The 25,704-nt window shown below is 38.9% G+C and overlaps 1 long non-coding RNA gene across 1 annotated transcript in view; it reads left to right on the top strand.

The window, feature by feature from the left end:
* The first annotated feature begins 1,407 nt into the window (after positions 1-1,407).
* The window catches only part of LINC01170 (long intergenic non-protein coding RNA 1170), a 378,727-nt gene continuing 354,430 nt past the window's right edge, over positions 1,408-25,704 (top strand). Inside the window, exons 1-3 of the long non-coding RNA NR_125774.1 lie at positions 1,408-1,533; positions 2,052-2,231; positions 3,633-3,770. This is a non-coding gene — a long non-coding RNA (long intergenic non-protein coding RNA 1170). The remainder of the gene's footprint in view (positions 1,534-2,051; positions 2,232-3,632; positions 3,771-25,704) is intronic.

Genomic DNA, 25,704 nt, shown 5'->3' with positions numbered 1-25,704 from the left:
TTTAAAGTTGTAAAAAAAAGAAATAAGTACTATAACTAGCAGCTGCCATCCTATATGAGAGGGTTACTCTATGTGTACATCTCCAGATGAAGGGTGACTCAGAGTAACACCACATTTAGTGCGATGCCATACCCAGTTTCACACTCTCAGATGAGGCTTTGTTATTCTTGAAGACTGAGGTCCCGTAGGTAGCCTGGAAAACAGTTCACAAAAGGCTCTCTGAATAGTGAATGCACATGCTTAACAAATCTGTTTTTGCTAGTCTCCATTACCTTCCTTCAGCAGGTGTAAAGCTTTAGTTCTGATATTCCTCTCCATTGTAGATGCCTGGCTCTAAGCCTTCTTTGTTTCTACCCAGATGCCAGCTTCTAGTTAACTATTCTTTTTTTTTTTTTTTTAAGCTACCAACCATCTGGAGGAAATCTGATTGGGGCTAGGGTCATTTTTGTACCTTTTAAAATGCGGTGTAGGTAAAAGGATTTGTCAAACCCATGAATGACCCTTCTCAGATCTCAGAGGCACTTCAGATTGGCAAGGGACTCCTTCATGAAGAAGCTGACTCAAGCAGAGGTAGCAACAGAGGCAAAGAGGAGCATGCTGAAGCTACAAGATGGGTTGAGAAATATAGATCTGCCCAATTATAATTCAAACAAAAACAAGTGAGAAACTGTAGTCGGTTGAGGCACTCTTGGCCGAGCATCTGGGCTTGGCATGCATGCATGCATAATTAGGCTTCAGGCAGCTGCAGGCTTCCACAGTGCAACAGGGCAGGCAGGATATCATAATACACAGTAGGTTGCATATCAATGAAACTCTTTTTAAATTCACATGAAGCCTAAGATAAAAAGACATCAGCAAAAATTAAACAGCATTCAAAACGGCAGTGAATTGTGATACAGGCCACCAGGAAAACGATGAAACCCGACCTGGTTTCCCCCCATTGTTCTGTTTCCTTCACACAAATAGATTAGAGCAACAGTGCTGACTTTGTTTTAAAATACACACACTCATTAGATCAAAGTGATCAATGCACATTTAAGCAACTTTCAAGGCATCACAGGAAGAGTGAAATGGTCTGCTTTATTTTGAAAGACAACAGAGAAAATCACACACATGCATCGGGGCATTGTGATATGCAGATGGTTGGCTTTCAGAAGAATTAAATATTCATGGAAGATAAAAATCTCTCTCATTATATTTTTAATGTATATGAGGCTTTGGGCTCAATGCCCTCTGTGTTCACATAACAGACAGACCCTGTTCTCCAAACACATGGATCTGCACACAAGGACGGCTCAGATCACATCCCGAGATGTCACCCTGGCCCGGGCCGGTCAGGCCCTTCCACCGCAGGGCTGCCCCATGGCAGCCAGTGACACCGCTGAGACAACTTTGCCGTGGCCTTACTTTCATTTCCTTGGTTGTTCAGTTTATGGCAAAAGACCCTCAGCTGTGTTTTGTTTACTAATTCCCCTAAGCCTGCCTTAAATCCAGACTGCCAGGGCCACAGGAAATCTTTCAGACCCCTGACAGGTACGGGTAAGTCTCTGAGGTACCTGGGCGTTTGCATTTGCTTCTATTACTAACCCACGTGCAGCATTATAACCTTCCTGCTTTTTCTTGTTTATTCCATGTCTTTGTTTGACAGAGATTCAAAGGGGTTTCTCAGAGGCTTTTAATCTGATTAACTACACATGGGTGACCACTGTAAGGGTTGGGATGCTACAGGACAGGCAGCACTGTCGGGTAGGGTCAGATTTGTCATCCCTCCTGCCCTCGCTTTCCCCAACACACTCCCAGTTTTCCCCTCCCCCACCCCGTGTGCCAGCTCACTCAGAAAATAGGATTCCAGATATGCTTTTATTGAGGAAGAATAATTAAAAAAAAAGATGTGTTTCTTCTTCATAGGGTGCTGAAATAATGAATTTATTAACCTTAGATCAGTGAAATGAATGAAAACTAAACCTGCTTAAAGGAAAGCATTAAGGTGAGAAAAATAAATATTCCTCTACATTTCAATTTGATTCTGAATTTAGTTCATTTTACTCCAGTTAGAAAATTGGCTCCACCTATGGCATTCACTGGAGTAGTCATCATCTTCTACACCGTGTCATTTTCCGTGCTTCTTTGTACATACATTCTTTCCTATGCTTTAAGACTGTATCGTCTATAGAAGATGAGTAATTATGATGAAGACTGAATCGTCACAGCATTTTGTTGTTGGCGTTCAGGTAATTGTAGCTGCGCGTGAGGTAGTTATTTGACCAGGTCTAATGTGTTGAATTGGTCTCTTGCTTTTTTTTTTTTGGTCACTGCTGTTGCCCTCCAATAAATTCCATCTTATCTTCAACTTAGATTTAAATACATGTGTTTTCTAGGTGTTGTTTCTATGCTCATATTTTAAACACAAGCATAAATGTACTTACATTACTGGATTCCAAAATGTAAATAGGTAGGACACTCAGGAATCAGATCTAACTTCCTTTTATCCCCCTGTCTGTGAACTGTGCTTTCAGTAAAAAGTAATGTTTCCATGTTGGGAATTCCCATTATTTCTTTTAAATATCCTCTAAAGCCCTGGTTTAAATAGGAATCAAAGTTCTTATTCCAGTGAGTGGAACAATGCAGTAATATAGATGTAGGGATCAAAGACATCACTGAACCATCAGCCTCCTGCCTCCAGTGTAGCCAGCCATCCTCAGCCATCCCCAGAAGCTGCATCCTCAGGGGCAGCACCCGGGGCTGAACAGTGAGCTGGCCAGGCTGGAGGGAATCTCCTCAGGGGAAATGTGTGAATAGACCCTGATTTGGAGGCAATATCCTCCCCCGCACCCTTTATTGAGGTATGATTAACACATAAAAATTGTATATATTTTTTACAACATGATATTTTGATATATACTGTGAAATTATTACCACAATCAAGCTAACATCCATCACCTCACGTGGTTACCTCTGTTTCCCTGGTGAGAACACTTAAGATCTACTCTCTTAGCAAATTTCAAGTACACAATACATTATTACTAATTATGGTCACCAAGCTGGACATTAAACCTGAACTTATTTATTTGAGAACTTAAAGTTTGGCTGAGTGTGGTGGCTCATGCCTGTAATCCCGGCACTTTGGGAGGCTGAGGTGGGAGGGTCACTTGAGACCAGGAGTTTGAGACCAGCGTGGGTAACAATGACATCCCATCCTTACAAAAATTAAAAAAACTATCCAGGTATGGTGGTGTGCACCAGTAGTCTCAGCTACTCAGGAGGCTGAGGTAGGAAGATCTCTTGACCCCAGGAGTTCAAGGCTGAAGTGAACTATGATTACCCCACTGCACTCCAGCCTGGGTGACACAGCAAGACCTTGGCTCTTTAAAAAAAAAAAAAAAGAAAGTTTGTACCCTTTGAATAATATTTCCCCTTTTTTTTCCATGACTCAGCCCCTGGTCATCACCATTTTACTCTCTGTTTCTATGTATTTGACTTTTTTTTAAAGATTCCACATGTACATGAGACTATGCAGTATTTATGTTTATTTATCTGGCTTATTTCATTTAGCGTAATGTCCTCTAACTTCATCCATGTTATTGCAAATGGCAAGATTTCGATTTCTTTCTCCTTTTTTTTTTTTAAGATAGGATCTCACATTGTCACTCAGGTTGGAGGGCAGTGGTGGGATCACAGGTCACTGCATCCTTGACCTCCTGGGCTGAAGTAGTCCTCCCGCCTCAGCCTCCGTGGTAGCTGGGACTACAGGCACATGCCACTGCACGCAGGTAATTTTCTTGCTTTTTTTTTTTTTTTTGTAGAGACAGGGTTTTGCTATGTTGTCCAGGCTGGTCTTGAGTTCTCAGGCTCAAGGGATCTGACTACCTTGGCCTCCCAAAGTGCTGGAATTATAGTCATGAGCCACCATGTCCGGCCAGATAGCCTTCATTTTTAAGGCTCAATAATAATATTCAATTGTGTGTATTCGTCCATTCTCACACTGATATAAAGAATACTACCTGAGACTAGGAATTATAAAGGAAAGAGGTTTAATTGACTCACAGTTCCACTGGCTTAATGGGAAGCATGACTAGGAGGCCTCAGAAAACTTATAATCATGGCAGAAATTGAAGGGGAAACAGGCAACTTCTTCACAAGGCTGCAGGAGGGAGTGTGTGCAAGTGTGAAGGAGGAACTGTCAAACACTTATAAAACCATCAGCTCTCATGAGAACTCACTCACTATCATGAGAACGGCATGGGGAAAACCACCCCCACGATCCAGTCACCTTCCACCAGGTCCCTCCTTTGAGGTGGAGATTACGGGGATTACAATTCGAGATGAGATTTGGGTGGGGACACACAGTCAAACCTTATCAGTGTGTTGTAGGACACTTAGATTATTTCCTTATTTTGGTTATTATGAATATTGCTGCAAGGGGGAATGTGGGAGTAGAGCTATCTTTTTGAGATAGTGATTTTATTTCCTTTGGATATATACCCAGAAGAGGGATTGCTAGATCGTATGGTAGTTCTATTTTTAATTTTTTGAGGAAACTCCATACTATTTTCATAGGGCTGTACCAATTTATAGTCTCACCAACAGTAGATAAGTGTTCCCTTTTCTTCACATCTTTCCCAACCCTCATTATCTTTGACTTTTTGATAATAGCCAACCTAACAGGTGTGAGGCAATATCTCACTGTGGTTTTGATTTGCATTTCCTTGATGATTAGTGATGTTGGGCATCTCTTCATGTACCTGTTGGTCATTTGTATATCTTCTTTGGAAAATTTTCTATGCAGCCCTTTTACCCATTTTTCACTTGGGTTATTTTGTTGGTTTGTTTGTTCATTTGTATGGTATTGAGTTGTAAGAGTTTCTTATATATTTTTGATATTAACCTTTCATTGGACATACAGTGTTCACATATTTTCTCACATTCCATAGGATGCCTTTTCATTTTGTTGATTGTTCCTTTTGCTGCGCAGAAATTTTTAATTTGATATAGTTATACGTGTTTGTTTTTGCTTTTGTTGCCTGTGCTTTGAGTGATAAGTAAAAAAAAATTGCCAAGAAAAATTTCAAGGAACAAAAGTTTTCTTCTATTTTTATAGTTTTCTATATGTTTTCTTCTAGTTTTGTAGTTTCAGATCTTGTGTATAGGTCTTCAATTCATTTTGAGTTAACCTCTGTGTATGGTATAAAGTAAGATTCCAATTTTATTCTTTTGCATATGCATATCCAGTTTTCCCAATGCCATTTATTGAAGAGATCATCCTTTCCCTATTGTATATTCTTGATGCCTTTATCAAAAATTAGTTGACTGTAGTATACATGTGGGCTTTTTTCTGGGCTCTCTATTCTGTTCCATTGGTCTACTTGTCTGTTTTTAATGCCAGTACCATACTGTTTTGATTATTATTGCTTTGTAATATAATTTGATATCAGAAAATGTGATGCTACTACCTTAGTTCTTCTAATTCAAGATGGCTTTGTTTATTCAGGGTCTTTAGTGATTTCACACATATTTTAGGATTTCTTTTCTATTTCTGTGAAAAACACCATGGGAATTTTGACAGAGGTTACATTGAATCTGTAAAGCATTTTAGGTAGCATGGACATTTTAGTAATATTAATTATCCCAATCAGTGAGCACAGGGTATCTTTCCATTTATTTTTATCTTCTTCAAATTCTTTTGTTAATGCTTTATGATTTTAGTTTACAGATCTTTCTCCTCCTTGGTTAAATTTATTCCTAAGTACTTTATTCTTTTTGATGCTATTGTAAATGGGACTCTTTTCTATTTTTTTAGTTTTAAATTTAAAAATATTTAAAATTAACACATAGTTGTATGCATTTTGGGGTAAAGTGTGAGGTTTTGATACATGTGTAGATTGTGTAATTATCAAATCAGGATATTTAGCATATCCATCATTTCATGCATTTATCATTTCTTTGTGGTGAGAACTTTTAAAATTCTCTCTTCTAGTTATCTTGAAATATTCAATATTGTTAACTGTAACACCCTACTCTGCAATAGAATAGTAGGACTTACTTCTCCTAACTGTAACTTTGTACCTGTTAACCAACCTCCCTATCCCTACTCCTACCTACCCTCCTTAGCCTCTCATAGTCACTATTCTACACTCTACTTCTGTGAGATCAACTTCTTTAGACTCCACATATGAATGAGATCATGTGGTGTTTGTCTTTTTGTGTCTGGCTCATTTTTCTTAGCATAATGTCCTCCAGATTCATCCATTTTACCAGAAAATATCAAGGTTTTATTCTTTTTTTATGCCTGATTTAGTATTCCATTGAATTATATGTATATATATATATATATATATATGCACACACACTATATATATATATATACACACTATATATATAATATAATACTATATATAAGAAATATAGTATATGTGTTACATACTATATATAGTATAAATAGTGGTATATGTGTTATATATATGGTATATACTATATATGGTATATAGGTTTAGGATATATACTGTATATATGGTATATAACAAGTATACCACATATATACTATATATGTGGTATGTAACACATATACCTCATTTTCTTTATCCATTTATCCATTGATGAACACTTAGGTTGTTTTCATATCTTGGCTATTGTGAATATTGCTGCAATAAACATGGAGTGCAGCTATCTCTTTGGCATATCGATTTCAATTCCTTTGTATATATACTCTGCAGTGGGATTGATGGGTGATATGGTAGCTCAATTTTCAATATTTTGAGAAACCGCAATACTGTTTTCCCTAATGCCTGTACTAATTCATGTTCCCATCAACAGTATATCAGTATTCCCCTTTCTCCACATCCATGCCAACATTTGTTATTTTTTTGTCTTTTTGTTTATAGCTGTTCTAATGGTGGTGAGGAGATATTTCATTATGGTTTTCACTTGCATTTCCCTGATGATTAATTATGTCAAACATTTTTTCATATACCTGTTGGCCATTTGTATGTCTTCTTTGGGGAAATGTCTATTCAGGTCTTTTGCCCATTAACAAAAAATCAAATTGTTAATTTTTTTTCTACTGAGTTGAGTTCTTTTTATACTCAATATTAACCCCTTGTCAGACGCATAATTTGCAAATATTTTCTCCCAGTCTCCATTTTGTAGGTTGTCTCTTCACATTGTTTTGTTTGTTGTTGTTTAGAGGTTTTTTGGTTGGTGTAATTCCATTTGTCTATTTTTGCTTTTGTTGTTCGTGCTTTTGAGGTTTTATCCAAAAAATCTTTCTCCAGACCAATGTCATGAAGCATTTCTCTTATGTTTTCTTTTAGTGGTTTTATTGTTTTGGGTCTTAACATTTAAGTTTTTAATCTATTTTGAGTTTATTTTTGTCAGTTGTGAGAGATAGGGTTCCAGCATCATTCTTCTCCATGTGGATATCCAGTTTTCCCAGCACCATTTATTGAAGAGACTTTGCTTTCTCTAATGTGCGTTCTTGGCATCTTTGTTGAAAATGAGTTGGCAGAAAATACGTGGATTTGTTTCTGGGCTCTCTGTTCTGCTCCTTTTGGTCTATGTGTCTGTTTTTATGCCAGTATCATGCAGTTTGGGTTACTATATGGCTTTGTAGTGTAGTATATTTTGAAGTAAGAAAGTGTGATACCTCCAGCTTTGTTCTTTTTGCTCAGGATTGCATTGGCTAGTTGGGAGTCTTTTGTGATTCTGTATGCATTTTAAGATTGTTTTTTCTATTTCTGTGAAGAAGTTATTGGTATTTTGATAGAGATTGCATTGAATCTGCAAGTTGCTTTGGATAGTGTGGACATCTTAAACAATATTAGTTCTTCCAACCCATGAACATAGGATATCTTTTCATTAATAAAGCATTCATCAATGTTTTATAGTTTTCACTGTAACAATCTTTTACCTTCTGAGTTAAATGTATTTCTAGGTATTTTATTTTTTGTAAGTATTGTAAATGGGATTGCTTTCTTGATTTATTTTTCAGGTAATTTGCTATTGGTGTATAGAAATGCTACTGATTATTGTATATTGATTTTGTATTCTGCAACTTTACTAAATTTATTTATTGATCCTAACAGTTATTTTGGTGGAGTCTTTAGGATATTCTGCATTTAAGATCATTTCATCTACAAACATAGAACAATTTGGCTTCCTTTTTTCCAATTTGGATGTCCTTTATTTTCTTCTCTTGCCTAATTGCTCTGGCTAGGTCTTGCAATACTATGCTGAATAAAAGCTGTGAAAGTGGATATCCTCATCTTGTTTTAGATCTTAGAGAAAAAGCATTCAACTTTTCCCCATTCAGTATGGTGTTAGATGTGATTTTGACATATCTGGTCTTTACTGTGTTGGGGTATATTTTATTTATACCTAACATATTCAAAATTCTTATCATGGAGACATGGTGAATTTTATCAAATGCCTTTTTAGCATCTACTAAAATGAACATACGGTTTTTGTCTTTGATTCTGTTAATGTGACATGTCACATGTATTGATTTGCATGTGTTGGACTTTTTTTTGCATCCCTGGAATTAATTCCACTTGATCACAGTGATCTTTTTAATGTGTAATTGGCTAGTATTTTGTTAAGGATTCTGCATCTGTGTTCATCAGGGATACTGGCCTGTAGTTTTTCTTTTTATGGCATGCCCTTGTCTGATTTTGGCATCAGGATAATGCTGGCCTTGTAAAATGAGTTTGGAAGAATTCCTCTTAAATTTTCTGGAACAATTTGAAAAAAAAAAGTGATAAATTCTTTAAATGTCTGATAGAATTCAGCAGGGAAATCATCCATTCTTGTGCTTTGATGGGATACTTTTTATTACTGATTCAATCTTGTTAGTCATTATTGGTCTGTTCATGTGTTCTCTTTATTCGTGATTCAACTTTGGTAGGCTGTATGTATCCAAGAATTTATCCATTTCTTCTAGGCTTTCCAATTTGTTGGTGTCTAGTTGTTCATAGTAGTCTCTTATGATCCTTTCTATTTCTGTGGTATTAGTTGTAATATCTTTTTCATTTATGATTTTATTTATAGGGGCTCTCTTTCTCTATTAGTTATTGTAGCTAAAAGTTTGCCAATTTTGTTTATCATTTCCAAAAACTAACTCAGTTGATTTTTTGTATTTTTAAAGTCTCCATTTTGTTTATGTCTGCTCTCATCGATATTATTTCTTTCCCTTTACTAATTTTGAATTTAGTTTGTTCTTGATTTTCTAATTCCTTAAGGTGCAATGTTAGGTTGTTTATTTGATATATTTCCTTTTTTCTTTTCTCTCTCTCCTTCTTTCTCTCTCTCTCTCTTTTTTTCTTTTTGGCAGGGTCTCACTCTCATTGCCCAGGCTAGAGTGCAGTGGCACAATCTTGGCTCACTGCAGCCTTGACTTCGTGGGCTCAGGTGATCCTCCTACTTCAGTTTCCTAAGTAGCTGGGACCACAGGTGCATGCCACTATGCCTGGCTAATTTTTTGTATTTTTAGTGGAGTCAGGGTTTCACTATATTGCCCAGGCTGATCTCAAACTCCTGGGCTTGCGCTCAAGCGATCCACCTGCCTATGCCTCCCAAAGTGGTGGGATTACAGGTGTGATCCACTACTCCTGGCTCTTTCCTCTTTTCTGATGTAAATATTTGTTGCTACAAACTTTCCTGGGAGAACTGCTTTGCTGTATTGCATAGGTTTTGATATGTTGTGTTTCCATTTCATTTGTCTAAACAAATTTTTAAATTTTTCCTTCAATTTTTTCATTGGCCCATTGGTTGTTCAGGAACACGCTGTTTAATTTCCATGTATGTGTAATGTTTCTGAGGTTTCTCCTGTTGTTGATCTCTAGCTTTATTCCAGTAGGCAGAAAAGATATGTTGTATAATTTTGATGTTCTTAAATTTGTTGAGACTTGTTTTGTAGCCTAACATTTGGAGAATATTCCATGTGCAGTTGAGAAAAAAGTAAATTTTATAGCTGTTGGAAGGAATGTTTTGTAAATGTTCATTAGGTCCATTTGGTCTACAGTACAGTAGACTAAATGCTGTATTTTTAATCTGGGTGATCTTTGCTGATATTTAATCTGGGTGATCTGTTTATTGCTAAAACTAGGGTGAGGAAGACCCCTACTATTATTGTATTGTGGTCTGTCTCTCCCTTTAGATCTATTAATATTTGCTTACATATTTAGGTGCTCCAATGTTGGGTACATATATATTTACAGGTGTTATCTGCCCTTGCAGAATTGACCTTCTAATTATATAATGACCTTTATTTTTACAGTTTTTGATTTAACATCTGTTTTATTTAAGTATAGCTACTCCTGCTTCCTTTTGGTTTCTGTTTGCTTGAAATATCTTTTCCAGTTTTTCACTCAGTCTATGTCTGTTCTTATAAGTGAAGTAAGTCTCTTGAAGGCAGCATATTGTTAAGTCTTGTTTTTACTTTGGTGTTGTTCATTCAACTACTCTATGTCTTTTAATTGGAGAACTGAGTCCATTTACATTCAAGATAATTTTTGATAGATAGAGACTCACTACTGCCATTTCATTAATTGTTTTCCAGTTATTTTGTAGATCTTTTGTTCCTTTATTCCTCTTTTCCTGTCTTCCTTTGTGGTTGATAAATTTTCTCTAGTGGTATATTTTGATTCCTTGCTTTTTAAAAATTATTATACTTTAAGTTCTAGGGTACATGTGTACAACGTGCAGGTTTGTTACATATGTATACAGGTGCCATGTTGGTGTGCTGCACCCATTAACTCGTCATTTACATTAGGTATTTCTCCTAATGCTATCCCTCCCTCAGCCCCAAACCCCACGTCAGGCCCCAGTGTGTGATGTTCCCCACCCTGTGTTCAAAAGTTCTCATTGTTTATGAGTAAGAACATGCGGTGATTGGTTTTCTGTCCTTGCAATAGTTTGCTCAGAATGATGGTTTCTAGCTTCATCCATGTCCCTACAGAGGACATGAGCTCATCATTTGTTATGGCTACATAGTATTCTATGGTGTATATGTGCCACATTTTCTTAATCCAGTTTATCATTGATGGACATTTGGGTTGGATCCAAGTCTTTGCTATTGTGAATAGTGCCACAATAAACATACATGTGCATGTGTCTTTATAGCAGCATGATTTATAATCCTTTGGGTATATACCCAGCAATGGGATTACTGGGTCAAATGGTATTTCTATTTCTAGATCCTTGAGCAGTCGCCACACTGTCTTCCACAATGATTGAACTAGTTTACAGTCCCACCAACAGTGTAAAAGTGTTCCTATTTCTCCACATCCTCTCCAGCACTGGTTGCTTCCTGACTTTTTAATGATCGCCATTCTAACTGGTGTGAGATGGTATCTCATTGTGATTTTGATTTGCATTTCTCTGATGGCCAGTGATGATGAGCATTTCTTCATGTGTCTTTTGGCTGCATAAATGTCTTCTTCTGAGAAGTGTCTGTTCATATCCTTCACCCACTTTTTGATGGGGTTGATTTTTTTCTTGTAAATTTGTTTCAGTTCTTTGTCGATTCTGGATATTAGCCCTTTGTCAGATGGGTAGATTGCAAAAATGTTCTCCCATTCTGTAGGTTGCCTGTTCACTCTGATGGTGGTTTCTTTTGCTGTGCAGGAGCTCTTTAGTTTAATTAGATCCCATTTGTCAATTTTGGCTTCTGTTGCCATTGCTTTAGGTGTTTTAGTCATGAAGTACTTGCCCATGCCTATGTCCTGAATGGTATTGCCTAGGTTTTCTTCTAGGGTCTTTATGGTCTTAGGTCTAACATTGAAGTCTTTAATCCATCTTGAATTAATTTTTGTATAATGTGTAAGGAAGGGATCCAGTTTCAGCTTTCTACATAAGGCTAGCCAGTTTTCCCAGCACCATTTATTAAATAGGGAATCCTTTCCCCATTGCTTGTTTTTGTCAGGTTTGTCAAAGATAAGATGGCTGTAGATGTGAGGTATTATTTCTGAGGGTTCTGTTCTGTTCCATTGGTCTATATCTCTGTTTTGGTACCAGTACCATGCTGTTCTGGTTACTGTAGCCTTGTAGTATAGTTTGAAGTCAGATAGCATGATGCCTCCAGCTTTGTACTTTTTGCTTAGGATTGTCTCAGCAATGAGGACTCTTTTTTGGTTCCATACGAACTTTAAAGTAGTTTTTTCCAATTCTGTGAAGAAAGTCATTGGTAGCTTGATGGGGATGGCATTGAATCTATAAATTATCTTGGGCAGTATGGCCATTTTCACAATATTGATTCTTCCTATCCATGAACATGGAATGTTCTTCCATTTGTTTGTGTCCTCTTTTATTTCATTGAGCAGTGGTTTGTTGTTCTCCTTGAAGAGGTCCTTCACATCCCTTCTAAGTTGGATTCCTAGGTATTTTATTCTCTTTGTAGCAATTGTGAATGGGAGTTCACTCATGATTTGGCTCTCTGTTTGTCTATTATTGGTGTATAGGAATGCTTGTGATTTTTGCACATTGATTTTGTATCCTGAGACTTTGCTGAAGTTGCTTATCAGCTTAAGGAGATTTTGGGCTGAGATGATGGGGTTTTCTAAATATGCAATCATGTCTCTGCAAACAGGGACAATTTGATTTCCTCTTTTCCTAATCGAATACAATTTATTTCTTTCTCCTGCCTGATTGCCCTGGCTAGAACTTCCAACACTATGTTGAATAGGAGTGGTGAGAGAGGGCATCCCTGTCTTGTGCCAGTTTTCAGAGGGAATGCTTCCAGTTTTTGCCCATTCAGTATAATATTGGCTGTGAGTTTGTCATAAATAGCTCTTATTATTTTGAGATATGTCCCATCAATACCTAGTTTATTGAGAGTTTTTAGCATGAAGGATTGTTGAATTTTGTCAAAGGCTTTTTCTCCATCTATTGAGATAATCATGTAGTTTTTGTCTTTGGTTTTGTTCATATGATGGATTACGTTTATTGATTTGCGTATGTTGAACCAGTCTTGCATCCCAGGGATGAAGCCCACTTGATCATGGTGGATAAGCTTTCTGATGTGCTGCTGGATTCGGTTTGTCAGTATTTTATTGAGGATTTTTGCATCGATGTTCATCAGGGATATTAGTCTAAAATTCTCTTTTTTTGTTGTGTCTCTGCCGGGCTTTGGTATCAGGATGATGCTGGCCTCATACAATGAGTTAGGGAGGATTCTCTCTTTTTCTATTGATTGGAATAGTTTCAGAAGGAACGTTACCAGCTCCTCTTTGTACCTCTGGTAGAATTAGGCTGTGAATCTATCTGGTCCTGGACTTTTTTTGGTTGGTAGGCTATTAATTATTGCCTCAATTTCAGAGCCTATTATTGGTCTATTCAGGGATTCAACTTCTTCCTGGTTTAGTCTTGGGAGGGTGTATGTGTCCAGGAATTTATCAATTTCTTCTAGATTTTCTGGTTTATTTGCATAGAGGTGTTTATAGTATTCTCTGATGGTAGTTTGTATTTCTGTGGGATCGGTGCACATATCCCCTTTATCATTTTTGTTGTGTCTATTTAGTTCTTCTCTCTTTTCTTCTTTATTAGTGTTGCTAGCAGTCTATCAATTTTGTTGATCTTTTCAAAAAACCAGCTCCTGGATTCATTGATTTTTTGAAGGGTTTTTTGTGTCTCTATCTCCTTCAGTTCTGCTCTGATCTTAGTTATTTCTTGCCTTCTGCTAGCTTTTGAATGCGTTTGCTCTTGCTTCTCTAGTTCTTTTAATTGTGATGTTAGCATGTCAATTTTAGATCTTTCCTGCTTTCTCTTGTGGGCATTTAGTGCTATAAATTTCCCTCTGCCCACTGCTTTAAATGTGCCCCAGAGATTCTGGTATGTTGTGTCTTTGTTCTCGTTGGTTTCAAAGAACATCTTTATTTCTGCCTTCATTTCGTTATTTGCCCAGCAGTCATTCGGGAACATGTTGTTCAGTTTCCATGTAGTTGAGTGGTTTTGAGTGAGTTTCTTAATTCTGAGTTCTAATTTGATTGCACTGTGATCTGAGAGACAGTTTGTTATAATTTCTGTTCTTTTACATTTGCTGAGGAGTGCTTTACTTCCAAATATGTGGTCAATTTTGGAATAAGTGTGATGTGATGCTGAGAAGAAGGTATATTCTGTTGATTTGGGGTGGAGAGTTCTATAGAAGTCTATTAGATATGCTTGGTGCAGAGCTGAGTTCAAGTCCTGGTTATGCTTGTTAACTTTCTGTCTCATCAATCTGTCTAATGTTGACAGTGTGGTGTTAAAGTCTCCCATTTTTATTGTGTGGGAGTCTAAGTCTCTTTGTAGATCTCTAAGGACTTGCTTTATGAATCTGGGTGCTCCTGTATTGGGTGCATATATATTTAGGATAGTTAGCTCTTCTTGTTGAATTGATCCCTTTACCATTATGTAATGGCCTTCTTTGTCTCTTTTGATCTTTGTTGGTTTAATGTCTGTTTAATCAGAGACTAGGATTTCAACCCTGCTTTTTTTTTGTTTTCCATTTGCTTGGTAGATCTTCCTCCATCCCTTTATTTTGAGCCTATGTGTGTCTCTGCACTTGAGGTGGGTCTCTTGAATATGACACACTGAAGGGTCTTGACTTTTTATCCAATTTGCCAGTCTGTGTCTTTTAATTGGAGCATTTAGCCCATTTACATTTAAAGTTAATATTGTTATGTGTGAATTTGATCCTGTCATTGTGATGTTAGCTGGTTATTTTGCTCATTAGTTGATGCAGTTTCTTCCTAGCCTTGATGGTCTTTAAAATTTGGCATGCTTTTGCAGTGGCTGGTACCGGTTCTTCCTTTCCATGTTTAGTGCTACCTTTACAGTGCTCTTGTAAGTTAGGCCTGGTGGTGACAAAATCTCTCAGCATTTGCTTGTCTGTAAAGGATTTTATGTCTCCTTCACTTATGAAGCTTAGTTTGCTGGATATGAAATTCTGTGTTGAAAATTCCTTTCTTTAGGAATGTTGAATACTGGCCCCCACTCTCTTTTGGCTTATAGAGTTTCTGCTGAGACATCCGCTGTTAGTGTGATGGGCTTCCCTTTGTGGGTAACCTGACCTTTCTCTGTGGCCGCCCTTAACATTTTTTCCTTCATTTCAACTTTGGTGAATCTGACAATTATGTGTCTTGGAGTTGCCCTTCTGAAGGAGTATCTTTGTGGCATTCTCTGTATTTCCTGAATTTGAATGTTGGCCTGCCTTGCTAGGTTGGGGAGGTTCTCCTGGATAATATCATGAAGAGTATTTTCCAACTTGTTTCCATTCTCCCCGTCACTTTCAGGTACACCAGTCAGACATAGATTTGGTCTTTTCACATAGTCCCATATTTCTTGGAGGCTTTGTTCATTTCTTTTAACTCTTTTTTCTGTAAACTTGTCTTCTCTCTTCATTTCATTCATTTGATCTTCATTCGCTGATACCCTTTCTTCCACTTGAGCGAATCAGCTGCTGAACCTTGTGCATGCATCACGTATTTGTTATGCCATGGTTTTCAGCTCCATCAGGTCATTTAAGGTCTTCTCTATGCTGTTGATTTTAGTTAGCCATTCGTCTAATCTTTTTTCAAGGTTTTTAGCTTCTTTGTGATGGGTTCGAACATCATCCTTTCACTTGGAGAAGTTTGTTATTACTCATCTTTTGAAGCCTACTTCTGTCAACTCATCAAAGTCATTCTCCGTCTAGGTTTGTTCTGTTGCTGGTGAGGAGCTGTGTTCCTTTGGAGGAGAAGAAGCATTCTGATTTTTAGAATTTTAAGTTTTTCTCCTCTGGTTTCTCCCCATCTTTGTGGTTTTATCTACCTTTGGTCTTTGATGATGGTGACCTACAGATGGGGTTTTTGTGTGGATGTCCTTTTTGTTGATGTTGATGCTGTTCCTTTCTCTTTGTTAGTTTTCCTTCTAACAGTGAGGACCCTCAGCTGCAGGTCTGTTCGAATTTGCTGGAGGTCCACTCCAGACCCTGTTTTCCTGGGTGACATCAGCAGGGGCTGCAGAACAGCAAATGTTGCTGCCTGATCCTTCCTCTGGAAGCTTCATCTCAGAGGGGCACCTGGCTGTGTGAGGTGTCAGTCGGCCCCTACTAGGAGGTGTCTCCCAGGTAGGCTACTCGGGGGTCAGGGACCCACTTGAGGAGGCAGTCTATCCATTCTCAAATTTCAAACTCTGTGCTGGAAGAACCACTACTCTCCTCAAGGCTGTCAGACCAGGACGTTTAAGTCTGAAGAAGTTTCTGCTGCCTTTTGTTTAGCCATGCCCTGCCCCCAGAGTTGGAGTCTACAGAGGCAGGCAGGCCTCCTTGAGCTGCGGTGGGCTTCACCCACTTTTAGCTTCCTGGCTGCTTTGTTTACCTAGTCAAGCCTCAGCAATGGCGGATCCCCCTCCCCCAGCCTCACTGCCTCCTTGCAGTTTGATCTCAGACTGCTCTGCTAGCAGTGAGCAAGGCTCCATGGGTATGGGACCCTCTGAGCCATGCATGGGATATAATCTCCTGGTGTGCCATTTGCTGAGACCATTGGAAAAGCACAGTATTAGGGTGGGAGTGTCCCGATTTTTCAGGTACCATCTGTCATGGCTTCCCTTGGCTAGGAAAGGGAATTCCCTGACTCCTTGTGCTTCCTGGGTGAGGCAGTGCCCCACCTTGGTTTGGCTCACAGTCACGTGGGCTGCACCCACTGTCCACAAGTCCCAGTGAGATGAACCCAGTACCTCAGTTGGAAATGCAGAAATCACCCGTCTTCTGCGTCACTCACGTTGGGAGCTGTACACTGGAGGTCTTCCTATTTGGCCATCTTGGAGGGCAGAGCTCCTTGCTTTTTTTGTATACTCACTATAGGTTTTTGCTTTGTATTTATCATGAGGCTTACAAAAAAACATCTTATAGTCATAACTGGTTATTTTAAGCTGTTGACAACTTAACTTGATTGAAAAAACAAAGACTCCACAATACTCTACACTTTTATTTCACTCTCCCATTTAAAAGTTTTGACTTCATAATTTATATATTTTTACATTGAATATCTCTTAACATTAGTTATTATTTTCATAGTTTCACTTTTTAACCTTCGTACAGAAAATGTGATTTACATACTGCCATTACATTATTAGAATATTCAGAATTTGACTATGTACTTAATTTTATTAGTGAGTTATATACTTTCAGTTGTTTTTGTGTTACTCATTAGACTTCTTTTCTTTCACCTTAAAGAACTCTCCTTAAAATTTTCCGTAAGACAGATTTGGTGGTGATGAATTCCCTCAGCTTTTGTTTGTCTGGAAAATCTTCTTTCTTCCTCATTTCTGAGAAACAGATTTGCTGAATACAGTATTCCTGTTTGGCAGGATTTTTTTATTTGAGCACTTTGAATACATCATCCCACTCTCTCTTGGTCATTAGATTTCTGCTGAGAGGTCTGGTGTTAGATATATTGGGACTTCTCTATATGTTGTTTGCTTCTTTTCTGTTGCTGCTTGCAGGATCCTCTCTTTGTCTTTGCCTTTGACTGTTTGATTATAATATATCATTGGGCATTGTTATTTGAATTTAATCTGACTGGGGAGCCTTGGCCTTCTTGTACCTGGATATTTATATCTTTTTCCAGGTTTGGAAAAATTCTAGTATTGTTTCTTTAAATAAGTTTTCTCTCATTTTCTCTTTTTCTACTGTCTCTGGAATAGCAATGACCTATACATTTGCTTTTTTGATGTTATCCCCTAAATCCCATAAGCTTTCTTTATTCCTTTTCATTCTTTTTCTATTTTTCTCTCTTTCACTGTTTATTTTTAAGTAACTGGTCTTCACATTCACATATTCTTTCCTCTTATTGATCAATTCTCTTGTCGAGGCATTCTATTGCATTTCTTATTTTATTCATTGTGTATTTTAGCCCCAGTATTTCTATTTATTTATTTTTTATTACTTAAATCTCTGTTAAATTTCTCTGATAAGTTTCTGAATTATTTATCTGTATTTTCTTGAAGTTTGTTGAGTGATAAGGGCTCTGTGTCCTCATCCAAATATCATGTTGAATTATGATCTTCAGTGCTGGAGGAGGGGCCTAATGGGAGGTGATTGAATCATGGGGACAGATTTCTCCCTTGCTGTTCTTATGATAGTGAGTTCTCATAAGATTTGGTTGTTTAAAAGCATGTAGCACTTCCCCTTTTCTCTCTCTCTCCTGCTATCATGTGAATATTGTGCTTGCTTCCACTTTGCTCTTTTACCATGATTGTAAGTTTCCCGAGGCCCCCCCACCCATGCTTCCTATACAGCCTGCAGAACTGTGAGTCAGTTTAACCTCTTTTCTCTATAAATTACCCAGTCTCAGGTAGTTCTTTATAACAATGTTAGAATTAACTAATATACTGAACTTCCTTAAAAACGCTGTTTAGAATTCATCAGGCAGTTCTTTCATCTCCACACTGTAGTGTCATTCACTGGCACTTTATTTTGTCTTTCTGGTATCTTCATGTTTCCCTTGGTTTTTGTGGCTGTGCACAAATGTCTGCACATTGATATAGGTATTTAATCCAGTCCTCACAGCCTGATTTGGTTCTTTCAGTAGTGGGCCTGTCCAGAGATTAAGGGCAGATTGACTGGTGAGGACCCTAAGCTCTCTGCTTAGGGCGGGTTAATTGGTGAGGACCCTAAGCCCCAGTCCCACTGCTTTAGCTGTTGCAGTGCTAGGGAGCACCCTAAACTCAGGACCACTGTGGCTGAAATCCTTTGGCTCCTGAGGTTGACACAAGTGCTAGGTCCCATTCAAAGCTCGCAGCTGCCAATACCAGCACAGACTGAGGTGTGCCAGAGGTCTGTGGCTGATGTGGCCTGCCTACTGCTGAGGTTTATTTAGGGCCTGAGGCCCATATAGTCAGCAGGTAGTGAAGGTGGCCAGGTCTTGAGTCCATCATACTGGGCCTGCAGGTTCCTGTTTGGTACCAGATTGAATTGAGAGGCCCCACTCACAGATACCTGCCTGGTGTCAGGGGTTCCATGTTTCTAACCAGTGCTGGATTTTACTGCAAGTCCAGTATAGGGTTGCAAGGCAAAGTCTTATACTTACTTTCCTCTCTTTCGGCCAGGTAAATGTTGTCTTTCTCTGTGCTGTGCTACTTGGGGTTCTGGAAAGGGCAACATAGGCAATCCCATGGCCACTGAGGCTAATGCAAATTGGTCTTCCCCAGGCCCAGTGCCACCGATAGCAGTGCAGCACTGGGGCATGCCTAAGGCCTGTGTGTGCCCTGCCCTGCCTGCCACTGAGGTTTGTTTAGAGCCCAAGGCCACTACAGTAGGCCTGCAGTGAGTTTAGTCTATCATGCTGAGTTTAGTCCGTATTGACTGGAACATAAGTCCATTCCACTGGGGCTGCAGTTTCCTGTCTAGTGCTAGGGTGGGTCTGGAGGTTCTGTCCATGGGTACCAGCCTGATGTCAGGTGCCAAGAGGTTCTGTCTGGTGCTAGTCTTCTGGCTGGCCTAGTACTGTTCTGCAAAGCAAAGTTTTATGCTCATTTCTCTCCTCTTCCCCCAAATGGACAATGTCTCTGCACTGTGGTGCGTAGGGTTAGGGGAGGGGTAGCATAGGTAATATTAAACTGTTCTTTCTATCCTCTTCAATGTGTCTTGTCTTATTATTATGCTAAAACCAAGTACTGGTATACAAGGCGATCTCTTACCTTGTTGTCCGATCTCCTGTGAAGGCTTTTTCATGTATGGATAGTTGTACACATGGATGTTTTTGTGGGGGGATGATCCTGGAGAGTTCTACTGTGCCATCATGCTGAGTTTAGTTCTGGGGTTGTTTTCTTAATTTCTTTTTTGAAAAGTTTGTTTCAGAGTATGGAGACTAGCAACATTATTGATTTTTATATGTTGATTTTATAGCCTGCAAATTTACTGATTTGTTTATTAGTTTTTAGGGCTTTTTTGGTGGGATTACTATGGTTTTCTATAAATAAGATCATGTCATCTGCAAACAGACAATATTACTTCTTTCTTTCCAAAGGAACACCTTTTTTTTTCTTGCCTAGTTGAGAAATCTCACAATTTCTCACAAATAAAGTATACCCCCATTAATTCATCAGGTCACAGTCATTCTGGAGAAAGGCTGTTTACTTACTTTTCTACAAGAGGAAATCGTGATTATTTATACCTTTGCATTTGACCAGTTGCTCTCAAAGCCCTCAAGTCTCTGGGGAGAGGAAGAAACCTTGCTTGGACTATAATCACACTGTCTACTTTACAAGTGTGAAAAAAGTGCTATTAATTTTAGCAGCACTTCAAGAAACAAAAACAAAAAACCTCTCACTTTGCTCCCTGCTGTCCCCGCTCTCAGTCCTTCTACACCTTTTTGACAGCTCAGCTGTGTGATTTTCTGATCTTTTCTGCAAGGGTATTTCAAAAGAGATAAGTGGTAGGAATCAATGCACATCATCTTAATTACCAAATACAGTTTATTTTATTGTAAGCCATTTATCTCTCAATGGCCATAAGACAAATGCTCTGTCCTTGTGCTAAGAATATGCCTACTTTTCTAAAATGATGCAGAAACATTTGTCAGATAATTCTAACATCCCCAAATTGGCTTTTCTATCCAAGATATTCCGAACTATGAGAAAAATTGCCTCAAATTTTTAGTTTAATATGTAGACCCTACTTATTTTAAAATATCTGCTGTATATCTTCTTTCTTTTGTATTGCTTTTCTGTAAATCACAGATGGTTATGGTGTTAGTTGTGCAAGATCTGAATTCTCCTCAGGCAGGTTTTGTAATTATATTTTCAATGTGTTTGTGTGTGTGTATATATATATCTATATATGATTTAAATTGCATTGTAGAATAATAATAAATAAAGACATACAAAACATGTATAGATACAGATACAGATACCATAGGGTCAGACCTTTTTAAGCACATATGAGTCTCTGGTGACTTGAAAAATCATGAACAGGGGCTCTAGGGACATTTTAGGGGGCTAGAGGTTTACATAAACATCCAAACATCTAGTCACCTAAGATGAAAATCTGGGGGCATCATAGCACTTTGTTAGGGCCATTTCCACTTTCCACATCTCAAATTCTACCTATATTATGTGACTTCTTATTTACTATCTCTTAACCAGCTTCTGGTCTGGTAATCCTCACATCCATCATATCAGCCAGATGACTCCTGTAAACACAAGTCAGGCATTGTCAATTCCCTACAAAATTCATCCGTAACTCCCAATTTTTCACAGGATAAAGGTGAACAAGCCCTGGGTTTAGGCTCCACTCTACCTCATCAGCTGCATCTTTTGACAAGACTATCATGAAGCTCCACGAATTAGTATCCACATTGGGATATTTGTAACCTCCAGGTCTGGGTGGATGCTCTCCTTTCTGCCTGGAACACTTCTCTCCAGCAATCCTGCCAGACTGGCTCCTACTCATCCATTAATGCCCAGCTTAGGGATTACCTCATCTTGATTTCCTTTTCTATTTCCTCACTCCTCAGAGGGGCATAGGTACCCCTGCTCTGTTTTCCCATAATACTTTGTGCATCTTTCTATCATTGGCTGTCTAAATGAAATTCAGCCCAGAGCTTAGTTTAGGGTTTTGGTCCTAGCCAGAATGCCACCTGAACAGGCAATGCTTCAAGCATTCTCAGTAATTTTTAGCTAGGAGAGGAAAGGGCAGCGTCAGAAAGAGAGGTTAAGAGAGAGCTGAAGGGGCTCAGGACACACTACCCCAAAGTATGGCACTTGGAATATTGAAGAAAACAGCAGAAACAAGAAGGTTGCCCTCAACTTCCCCAGCCCTTCTCCCCTGAAGCAGGTCATAAAACCTAGGAAGAATTTTCTGACCTTCCTCTGAAGCAGGTCATGATTCTTATTTGAGAGGTGCTCTTTCTTTACATGAAGGAAAGGAACATCCTTATATCCTTATATCTGAAGATGGAGGGTCACAGAGAAGAATCTGAACAAATGGCCTTGCCAAGATTCCCCTAGCTTATTACCATTAGATCATACTCTTATTGCCCTATTGTAGTTTCCATATGACTGTCCGCTCTTTATCAAACCTTGCATAAAAACGTACAGGTTTAACCATTTCTTTGGGTCTTCATTTGCTTAAGAAGGGTTCTATGTCACATAAAGCTTATTAAATAAATTTGTATGCTTTTCTCTTGTAATCTGTCTTTTGTTATAACATCCTCAGCCATGAACCCAGGACAAATATTTTTCTCCTGTTCAGAGTACATAAGAATGCCAATACTGGCAAACATGAGAGAAGCGCCAGGGTTTTGCTGAGAGGAAAGGTCTCTGGTAGGAAATAAGCTTGCTAAAGACCGACTTTGCCTATTCTGCAGAGATGTTGAGGTCTCTATCACTTTATCTCTCTTTCACTTGAAAAAATAAGACAGAATTGACATCAAGACATTACTATCAGTGCACTTTTGGTTTGAAAAAATAGTTTCTTGGCTGAACTAGAGGCTTATGTTAACCTGATTTAAAATAATTTATGGAAGGGTGTGTGTCTGTGTGTTTTAAGACTCCAATACCACTAGAGTGTTGACATCTTTGTTTACTCTTGACTCTAGAGCAGTCACCACTGGAGACTAATAAAAATCACATTTTTGTTTCAATAGCTAACCTTCTTTGCCTTCTTTAGCTTCTTGTAAAATGAATTTTGGGCAATGAATGTGCTGCAAGGAAAATTTAGTTTTTGTGTTGGATATTACATGTAAATATGACCATGAAAATTAGATTCTTTTTTATATCTAAATTTCACCTAAATATAAATCCCAAGTAATAGACTGTAACAGAGGAAAGGGGTCTAGGCATCATCTAATCTAATTGCTTGATTTTACAAACAAACATGCTAAAGTTAAATGAATAAACTCAAAAGCCAGACTACCTGAGTTTTTCATCTGGCATAAGATTGCTGTGTGAACTTGGGAAGATTACTTAACCGCTCTGCATCTCCTTCCTTTTGGGTAATGGGAATAAAAAGAGTGTCTACTTCTTATCGTTGTTTGGAGAGTTAAGTACAGTTAATAGTAAGTGTTCAGTAATTTTTGTTCTTACTGGGTTGTTGTTTTCTACACCGCATGGCAAATTAACCAAGACTAAAATTCAAGTTTCCTAACTGCTCTCCAAGATTCTTTCCACAACTCTCTCATTTCCCAAATCCACCCAATTTTCCTCCATCTACTGTAAGATTCTATAGGAGTGGTGAAAAGCATTTTTCCTTGCTTTAACCCCATTATTTCTACATCAGGGCTATGTATTAAGTATCATGCATTTTCCATCTATTTGTTTATCTCTCTAGTCTATTTCTGTCTATCTCTCTCTTCGGTTCAATTTATGCCAGCACTGCAGAGATGCCTTAGGCCAGTTGAACACTTGCAGGGTACAGTTGGCCTTAAAGTAACCTTAGTTTCTGAATGCTTAAAGACTATGTGCAGAAAGACAGCTGAGAACCAGCCCTTAGCACAGGCCTACAGTCTTTGGGGCACACAGGCGAGGGTTCACCACTCTGGGCTAAGGTATTTCCCTCTGCTCTGAACATCCTGGATAGCCTGTACTGAGACCCCAGGCCTCAGTGACATCCACACGTCAGACAGGTGCTGCCTGGGACTGGGGCCCTCCAAACCAGGCTCACAACAGCTCTCATGGACATCAGGCCAAATATGGCCCAGGAAAAAACAGGAGTGCTCAGGAACCAGAACGAATTGTGCCAAATGTGGAATATTTGTCTCCAAACTCTGATTACTGTAATCCCTAGTCACCACCTAAAACTCTTTGAATAGGCTTGCTGAGTTGTCTGGGTAATCTTATTTGTACTTGTTGTCCTGGCATAATTATCAACAGGGTCTCCATTCACTCTCAAAAATGTCACCCTATCCAAGATGCAAGGCCACATGTACCCTCCCTAATCATGTATCCTTTATGATATTCAGTAGTCCCCCTTATCTGTGGTTTCACTTTCCAAGGCTTCAGTTACTTGTGATCAAGTGTGGCCTGAAAATAGGTGAGTAGAGTATGATAAGATATTTTAAGAGAGAGAAAGAGAGACCACATGCACATAACTTTTATTACTGTATATCGTTATAATTGTTTTATTTTATTATTAGTCATTGCTCATTTCTTACTGTGCCTAATTTGTCAATTAAACTGTATCATAGGCATGTATGAGTAGGAAAAACATAGGAACTATGTATGGAGGGTTTGGTGCTATCTGCAGTTGCAGACATCCTCTGGGGGTCTTGGAACCTGTGGACAAGAGATAACTTCTATATATTTTTATATCTTTACTAGTTGGCATGTTTTATGCCATAACTGTTCCCAATTTATATATAAACCCCCGTTTTCCCCCTTTGTCCACTTGTTCCTTTGTGAAACGACTCTCTCACACTCTCAGCCTCTAGGAAACAAATCTTACCGTCCTGGGAAGCTGCTTCTCTGACACACTCGCTGCTAGGGTGGTTGGCCTGAGATCTGCCCAGCCCTGCGTCAGGACCCGGCCCTCCTCTCTGAAACCTTAAGTCTTGTCCTGAGTAGATCTCAACAGCCTGCCTACCCACGTCCCTCCGGGAGTGAGGACAGAAGGCGAGAGGGAGCTCATTCATTCCTAGACATTTTTGGCTTCTATTCTTTTCATCAAGTCTGTGTAGTAAGAATTTGGCCTTGTCCAAAAAGAGGTTTTGCTTTTGCCCTCAGTTTCTAGGAGGCAATTTCTGGCACACCTGACAGAAGTGTCTTTGTTTAGGGTAAGAGCTGACCATACCAGAACTCAAGGTGGGGCCGGCCTCACCCAGTCAACACTGGATAGAGCTGGCCATTCCAGAAAGACCAGCCATGTGATTGATGGTGGAGGCTTTGAGTCATGTGGTATTGGTTGGTGTGGGTATCACAGCTTGGGTGAACTTTTCTTGGTCTTTTGTTGTTGTCGTTGGCAATACTTTATGGTCATTGCTACACATTGATGTCCTAATTCCACAAAGAGGGGACAACAGAAGCTTTGTGTTTGTGACCCTCCCAGTCTCTGCCCTCTATGTCTCTTTCCTGGGCTGATTTTGACCTGTATCCTTTCCCTGTCATGAAGTGTAACCATAAGCATAACAGTTTTCAGTGAGTTCTTGTGTCCTTCTAGTGAATTGTTGGAACTGAGAGTCATCTGGGGAAAGCAAAGTGAACTGGCAGGTGGTGCCATAAGGGAGAGCTATCTTGGATGGAGACTGCATCATCTAACTGTTGCAGTTGGGCTAATTCCAGGTAGAGTCCCTCTTTATTTACATGGCAGAGGGGACACATTTCAGTCCCTTTTCTCTCAGGTGGCTTCTGGCTCCTTTCCTGGGCAGAGTTGTTAGGAGAGGAATGTTAAATCCTCCAATATCAGTGAGATCTGTCACTTCTTGGCCAACAAAGTCAGTCTCATTTCTCAAGTTCAGCCAAACCTGTCCTGTACTTCTGTGCCTGGATGGTAAAGACATTTAACTACCTTCACAGCGGGTGCTAGAATTTTTCTTCACAGCATTTAGGAAACACATCGATAAGCCTGTACTAAGATGTTAGAGGAAAGGAGAAGATGACCTGCATAACACAAAGGGAATAATTAATTTTTTTCACATCTTAATGGGAGGAGGGTTGATGAGTGAAGATGAGAAAGAAAGGGGGAGAGGAGCTCTCAGATAGAGCAGGAGAGGCCAACACTAATGAGAGCAGTGTCAATGGAAAGCTCGGTGGTAGTGGCCT

This window comes from Homo sapiens, chromosome 5, assembly GCF_000001405.40.
Source record: "Homo sapiens chromosome 5, GRCh38.p14 Primary Assembly".
Lineage (NCBI taxonomy): Eukaryota > Metazoa > Chordata > Mammalia > Primates > Hominidae > Homo > Homo sapiens.
The sequence above is the reverse complement of the archived record's forward strand: the minus strand, read 5'-3'. Positions and strand labels throughout refer to the sequence as shown.